At 43.5% G+C, this 8,116-nt stretch overlaps 1 annotated feature.

Moving 5' to 3' along the window:
- Positions 3,708 to 3,937: an enhancer, noted in NCBI's record as "active region_13351". NCBI's record gives its function as "activates an Ori minimal core promoter by ATAC-STARR-seq in GM12878 lymphoblastoid cells {active_cell/tissue: GM12878}" and the evidence as "EXISTENCE:reporter gene assay evidence [ECO:0000049][PMID:35858748]".

Here is an 8,116-nt window from a genome sequence, read left to right as displayed (position 1 = left end):
TTCTGGCAAGAAGAGCCTGGAATTCATTTCCCTCTCATGTACACTCTGTTGTGGAGACTTGCAGAAAGTGGACATTGCAGCTTCTCTCTTCCCTTTTCCCCAAATGAAATACTTTTTTATTCATGGCTCAAGTATGATGGCACATATTAATTATTTGTAATTTTTTATTAGATGTATGTTTATTTGAGGATTTTGTTGCTCTTTATTTGTCTCTGTTGTGTTTGTGACTTCAGTACAGTAACTAGCAAAAAGGTACTGCTTTGGTTAAATCTGCTTTTTTAATAACTCTGGACTGGATTAAACTGAATCAGAGGTTATGCATGCCCACCAATTGGATGCAGCCAGGGGAATCAGAAACAATTGTTCTAATGCAAGAACTTGGCATGATAGAGCTTTGAGAGGGCGTTGAGTCACCAAGGAGTCAGCAGGCCAGACAAGGCACCTGTGAAGCATGATATTTAGAGCAAGGGGCAGGTCAGAGGCCAGGTGTACAGATAAAAACCAGGATATAAATGTCAGGCGATAAGGCTAGATGCAAAACCCAGTACTTTGTAAATAGGCGAGAGCCAGGAGACCCGGAAGGGCAAGACAGGTACAGAGCAAGATGAACAGAGAACCACAAGGAGACCCAGCAGTTGGGAAGGACCTTGGTCACTGGGGTGAGTATCCACCCAGCAGGAGGGTCGATGCGCTGTCTTTCCCAGGGCAAAGCCAGGCCCAGTGTGTGACTAGATCAGGGATGCGAGCAGCAGCAATTTGGGAGTGAGGAAACCAAGGAAGCGCTTTGTGAGTTAGCTCTGGCTTAACTCCTGTACATGAAGCCAAGAAGAAAAAGACATTTTGAGGATGACATCTCACTTTTGAAACACTATAATAGATTTTCTTGGAGGAGAATAAAAATGTAGTGCATCTTTTTTAGTGCATCTTCATTAAACCCTGGGTCCTAGTGACATTTTTATTTTTCAGCAAAAGCATTTTGCCAGCAGATCAGACCTTGATGATCTTAAAAAAAAAAAAAATGATGCTATTGATGAGAGACATGTTGTTCAACACTGTGGTTCTTTAAACCAAGATACCACCTCCAGATACACAGAATAGTCTCTTTGAAATGTCTATCAGGTTATAGAATTAAAAATATGTTTATCATTCAAAATGTGAGATAAAGGTTTCAGGGAAGCTGACAATGTAGAAATAAGCTTCTAAAAAAGGTGCAGTCTGGAAATAGACACATGCTCTCTCTGTCCCCTCGGTCCTGGCACACATAACCCAAAATTTGGACCCTCACATTTGTAACTCATTTGCATATGTAAGTGCCAGTTGGCAGTATTTTGAACACTTCAGCAGTTCTCTGTGCATTCGTCTAAGTTGGGGCTGCTACTGAAACCCTATTTCAATGTGTTTTGTTTTTCCTGCCATTTCAAAATGAAGTCATGAGATTGGGACTTCTTCCAAGAAGGTCCAGAAAGTAACTTTATTTTTACCCTTTTCCTGTCCTATATCCCACATCATTCAATATTTGTGCAAAATGGTAACTGGAGGTCTTATTGTCATTTCCATGGATCCCAGAATGTATAACAGTGATTTGGGGCAACATTTGGGAAGCCATTCAAGGAAGATGAGCTTCAGGTGACCCTAGACACTTCAGTTTCTGTTAGCAGCATGTCATGATTTTTGGAACAAAATAAATAAAGCTAGAAGGGGACAAGTAGAGAAGCCTATCATACAATTTCCAATTTCCCCTAAGCTTCTAGTTTTTTCTAGGTTAAATCTTTGTGTTGTCGTATATGCTATTTCTTTTTTCTTTCCTTTTTCTCCACCCTCAAATTTCTTCTCTTTTCACCTCCAAGAATGCATCTTTTAATCGATACGCAAATGTTTGGCTCTGCATCCAGAGCTGGGGGACATACAAGCACGGTTGATTTACCAACAAAAACATTCACAACCATGCAGGAGGAATGAGAGCTGGCAAATGTCTCTGAGTAGGATAATTAAGAGATGGGATCATTTTCAATTCGATTTCTACTTTAAATTTATTTTTTCTTGGTAAAGGTTCATACCTCAGTGGTTACAAATGGGAATACAGGAAGACATCTCACCCACCCATTTTTCAAAGCCACCTTCTTTCTTTCCCTGGAAGTAACCATCAATTTCTTTTTATCACTTCATAGGTATTTTATACACATACGAGTGCTTCACTGAAAGGTCAGTGTGAGGCACCTAGAAATAATATTGGCCATATTCGAAAAGAAGTGCTAGACCAAATGTGAATGGATAAAGCTGGGTCTCTTATTCCACGCAAAGATTCCACTGGTGCTATAATAAATATTGTTTGTGCTTTGCAAATCAGGAAATGTGAAGTCTAAAGACAGTGTCAGGGTGGGGGCAGGGAAGATACGATGCTGACAAGTCAGGTCCCAAGAAGCTGCTTTGTAGTTTCTTTGCTATTTTAATCCAGATGAAATAGAATGGAAATCGAGGGCAGCTGGCCAAAGTGTCTCTTGAATCATTGTCTTGCTACTAAGACCACAGGGTTGGGTGGGAAACCCAGCTCTGGGTCTGGAGGGTCAGATAATTAATAGACCCTTTAGCATTAATATGCATAAATGCCTCTGGGATTCACCTGCGGTGGGGAGGGAAGGGCTTGCTTGCTAAAATGCAGTCACTGACTCAGTGGGTCCAGGATGTCGCCTGAGAGCCTGCATTTCTAACAAGCTTCCAGGTGCTGTTGGTGTTGCTGATCCTCGGACCGCACTTTGATACCAAGAACCTAAACAGATGCCACCTCCAGAAATTGCTTTTTCTACAGGCTTAAGACAGAGCTGGGAACTCTGATTTTTGATGCCTTTCTCTATCCTAAGAGGTAATTCTGATGTAGGTTGACCTCAGAGCATACTTTGAGAACCCCAGCTCCTAAACCTGAAATTTTATTTCTTTCTATGACACACATAGAGTCAAGAACATAATTGTAGAGGAGAAGAGAACAGGCATGGGGAGGGGAAGGATGCAAAAGAGACAGGACAAAGCTGCAGGGAGATGCCCATCTGTATGATGGATAGAGGGTGAATTGAGTGCATATTCTGCAATTCAAACTGGTGATTTTCTTCTTACCGGGGAGCAGACTTTTTCCGTTTCTCTGCTTTAGGCTTTGAGATAGCAGCCCCAGAGAATGTCAGCTGATACACTATTCCTTGAGATTTCTCCTTCCCTAGGAGCTTTGGTTTCAGTCATCTCATCTTCATTTTATCCCAGTAAAACCGGAGGGAGGTTTCATGGAAGATCCCAGGGCCTGGAATTCTGATGGGCTGCTTTGCACAATCTCATCCCAGGACACCCAGATGCCCTCACTAAAGCAGATTTTGTCCCTGGACTCAGATTTGGCTTTCAAATATGGAACGTGCAAATGCTTAAAGGGAAATGTGCCCAGATTTTCGACACAGTCCTGACCTCCATTCAGGCAATCAGTGGGCACTGGTTCCAAATCAACTTGGCCTTGATAAAATGAGTAAAAAATGCCTGTCTCCCTTGCTGGGAAACTAGACTTTTCCTGTAAACTCAGGCCCCTCTGACAGGGCTTCCCAAGGCATCTCTCCCCTGGCAGTCATGGACACACTGCTGCTGTGTTCATCTGCTTCAAGGGCTCCGGGGGTAATGGGTCAAGTGTCCATTGAGAGTGAGCTGAGGAAGGAGAGAAGTGGCTGCAGGTGATGAATTTCAGCAGTCATCTTTGTCTCCTGGACTCTGAGATCCCTGCCTTAAGATCTCTAAAATATTACCCCCTTCTTGTGACCTGTCCCAGCTGGACAGCATGAGAGAAGTAGCCTGGATGGAATTCTTTGCTGTCTTGTACCCCTTGTGTTGAGTGTGCTACTTTTCTTCAGTCCCACTTGACCACACACAAACCCCTGAAGCAGACAGGGAGGGATGAAGTTCTCCATAACTGTGCACCTGCCATTGCTAATGTAGGAAGTGAAAATAACATAAATGAGCTCCATCCCACGCAGCACAGAAACACCAGACAAAAAAATCCCCTTGCAAAATGCCACCGAGACTCCCATTCAGCCCACACCCTCATGTAGGCACAGCATCTGAGCACCTGGCTTGTGGGACATCACACCTCACACCTCGCATGCTGCGTCGCTCAGGGTGGGAGCAGGGAGATTTCGGCATTGAAACCAATGCACAGCCTTTTCCAGTTTACCTAGATTATTTAACTCCCTCAGCATCTCTTTGAGCTAATAGCGGAGGTTTATTATTATTTTCCATAATAGTACAAGATTACGCAGCTCGTATTATGGGTTGAATTGCCCCCAAAATTCATAGGTTGGAACCCTAATACTAGTACCTCAGAATGTGACCAGATTTGGAAATAAGGTTATTGCAGATGTAATTTGCTGAGTTATGAAGAAGTCATTGGATGGGCTCTAATTCAGTAAGACTGGTGTCCTTATAAAAAGGAAACATTTGAACATAGATATTCACACAGAAACACCATGTGAAGATGAAGGCAGAGACTGGGGTGAGCTTCCATAAGCCCAGGAATGCCCAAGATTGCCAGAAAACCATCAGAAACTGGCAGAGAAGCATGGAACAGATTCTACTTCACAGGCCTAGGAGGGAGCCAACGCTACAGACACCTTGATTTCAGACATCTAGCCTCCAGAACTGTAAGATCATAGCTTTATGTTGCTTAAGTTACCTAGTTTGTGGTATTTTGTCATGGCAACCCTAGTCAACTAATACAATCCTTAAGTAACACAGTGGGGCCACAAAATAGGTTGTCAGGACCCTTGCCTATTGTGACTTCAGTAGAGGCTTGTTATTCAATAGGGAGTTAAGAGTGTGAGGGTTTTGATAGTATTCCTATTTCAAAAGCCAGTGGGGGCTGGGTGTAGTGGCTCACACCTGTAATCCCTTTGGGAGGCTGAGGTGGGAGGATCTCTTGAGACCAGGAGTTCAAGACCAACCTGGACAACAAAGTAAGACCCCAATCACTACAAAAAATAGATAAATAAAAAAAATTAGCTGGACATGACGGCATGTGTCTGTGGTCCCAGCTACATGGGAGGTTGAGGCAGCAGGATCCCTTGTGCCCAGGAGGTCAAGCCTGCAGTGAGCCACGTTCTTGCCACTGCACTCCAGCCTGGGTGACAGAATGAGACCCTATCTTAAAAAAGAAAAATAAAAAGTAAAAGAAAAAAAAAGCCAATGGAGGAGCATCCTTATCTTCCCTGCCCTCCAATTCAGACCCACTTGGCAGCATCAACTTGTGAACAATCATTCCTCTCCATCCCAGATCACCCTCAGCAGGACCTTTGACAGTTTACCCTCAGGCCATGCGCCCTTCTGTTCCGGGCAGCATTGCTGCATAGCAAACCCTCCCTAAACTTAGAAGCTTAAGACAATATCCATTTTATTATATCCTATGGATTGCATAGTTCAGGAATTCAGGCAGGGCTCATTTGGTTGTTTTTTTTTTTCATACCCAGCATTTACCAATAATAAATAAGTGGTTCTCAGCTGGCAGAAGGGCTGGTCTGAAGGAGCCAAGACAGCCTGACTTACATGTCTGGTGCCTTGGTGGGGACGGCTGGAAAGTGGGGCTCAGCTGGGACTGTTGACAAAGCCCTCTCATTTAGCATCTGCAGCACAGTAGCTGCAGATTATTTGAATTTCTTGCAGGGGTCCTGGTTTTCCCCAAAATGAGTATTCCAAGAGCACAAGGTGGAAGTTGCATGGCCTGTTATGACCTAACATCGGCAGTCACAAGCATTGCTTCCATCATGCTTAATTGGTCAAAGTGGTCACAGAAGCCCACCCAGATTCAAGGGGAGGGTTCAAAGATCTCACTTCTTGATGGGAGGAGAATCAAAAATTGTATGGTCATTAAAAACTAGCAACACTGTTATACCATTCCATCCCTTGGATGGCAAAAATAAATAAATAAAATAAAATAAAATAAAATCTCTACTTTCTACTTTCCTCCAACCTCTGGCTTTTGTGTTCCTAGCATTCAGAGATGGAGGATGGGAAGTATCCTCCGAGGAGTCCTCATAGTTGCTTATTTGCCTGTATTACAGTTGAAATTCTGTTCAAGGAAATCAAACTCTGGGCCCATGTGGTGTCCAGCTGTGGTCTAGACATTTCTCAGGAAGCCCAAATGGAACTGAGCAGGACACTTTCACAAATTAGCAAGCTCCCAAATATTTATTGTCCTATTCTGTCATCTTCATGTATCTAGATTTAATTGTTGACCTCCCAAGGACTCTCTCATTCAGTATCTCTTAAAAGCAGCCACGAATGAAGCCCTTACCTGGACCATTTACTGTCTGCAGGAGGATTAACAACAGACTGAGTAGTCTGGAAGAACAAAGCCTTCAGGAGAAATGGAGGCCACACCACCAATCTATGCCCTTTGGAGCATTCTGCTGTTAAAACATTGGTTCGATATAGAAAATGTATGCAAAAGGGGACCAGATTTTCTGTTTGCCTCCTCTGGCACTTCTATTTGTTGTTCTAGTCTCTCTCCACTTCTATCTTGCTTGGGGTTCCCAAGCTGTCTGAATTCCCTGGGAGGAAGGCTCTACTTGCAGAAGGCTAAGGCCAATGAGGCCCAGTAGATTCAAATCATTCTAACACTTACTTGACCCTATAATACAAGGCACAATAGAAATGGAGACAATATGCAATTCGTATTTAATCCCAATATTATAGTCTTGTATGCATTCATGTATGAATGCATGAGAGAAACAGAGAGAGAGAGAGAGAGGGGAGTGAGGGAGAGAGTTCAACCATAACATACAGAGTAAGTACTGTGAAGATAAAAACTATATAATATTTACTTTCACCTTTGAAAAAATGCATGGTAATGTGTTCAGCACATAGTAGATACCAAATGTTTGTAAAAAGATGGACGGGAGAAAGGAGGGGTTAGTCAGGCCAGGTATACTTTCTCATTCCTTTCAGAATTCCTAGTGGCATCTCACGTATATGCTTGTGTCTATGATGGAATGTGGAACAGGAATGGAGAAGGAGCAATGTACCAAGCGGGAGACCTTGACCACATAGAGGCTGACCAGGAGGGAGTGGATTGATTACCGGGGTCAGCTTTGGACATACATGGTAGGGACAGAAAAGGGATTACCTATTTTAAGCATAGATAAATTTTATCAGCTGCTAAGGTTCATGTGCTAGTTGAAGAGGGGTAGTAATAGACTATGCATTTTTGGCTTCCATGAAGGAAAATGCTTATTTTTGTGCATTATTCAAAACTAATTGTCTAGTGTCCTCCTCAGGCCTGCATTCTAGCTGCCCAAAAGATGGCTCTTCTTCACTCACTTCAAAGCAATCTGCAGTTGGGATTTCTGTTCCAATTGAAACTGTTTTCTTTTTTCTTTTCTTTTTGATGTGGAGTCTCACTTCATTGCCAAGGCTGGAGTGCAGTGGTGCCATCTCTGCTCACTGCAACCTCTACTGCCCAGGTTCAAGCAATTTGCGTGTTTCAACCTCCTGAGTAGGTAGGATTACAGGTGCATGCCACCATGCTCAGCTAATAATTTTTGTATTAGTAGTAGTGACAGGGTTTTGCCATGTTGGTCATGCTGGTCTTGAACTCCTGACCTCAGGTGATCTGCCTGCCTTAGCCTACCAAAGTGCTGGGATTACAGGCGTGAACCACCATGCCCAGCTGAAACTGTTTTCTAAAGTGTTTCATACACTTGAGTTCTAAAATGGGTTAAATCAGGTCAGGTGCGGTGGCTACCCAAAAGCACTGACTGATTCTCCAGTTTAAAGAACTATCTTGGGGCTGGGCGTGGTGGCTCACACCTGTAATCCCAGCACTTTGGGAGGCCAAAGCGAGGGGATCACTTGAGGCTAGGAGTTCAAGACCAGCCTGGCCAACATGGCAAAACCCCATCTCTACTAAAAAATACAAAAAAATAGCTGGTTTGGTAGTGCACGGTGGTAGTCCCCGCTACTCCAGAGGCTGAGGCACGAGAATCGCTTGAACCTGGGAGGCAGAGGTTGTAGTGAGCCAACATGGCACCACTGCACTCCAGCCTGGGTGACAGAACGAGACTCCATCTCAATAAATAAATAAATAAAAATTATAAATAAA

This window comes from Homo sapiens, chromosome 18, assembly GCF_000001405.40.
Source record: "Homo sapiens chromosome 18, GRCh38.p14 Primary Assembly".
Taxonomy (NCBI): domain Eukaryota; kingdom Metazoa; phylum Chordata; class Mammalia; order Primates; family Hominidae; genus Homo; species Homo sapiens.
The sequence above is the reverse complement of the archived record's forward strand: the minus strand, read 5'-3'. Positions and strand labels throughout refer to the sequence as shown.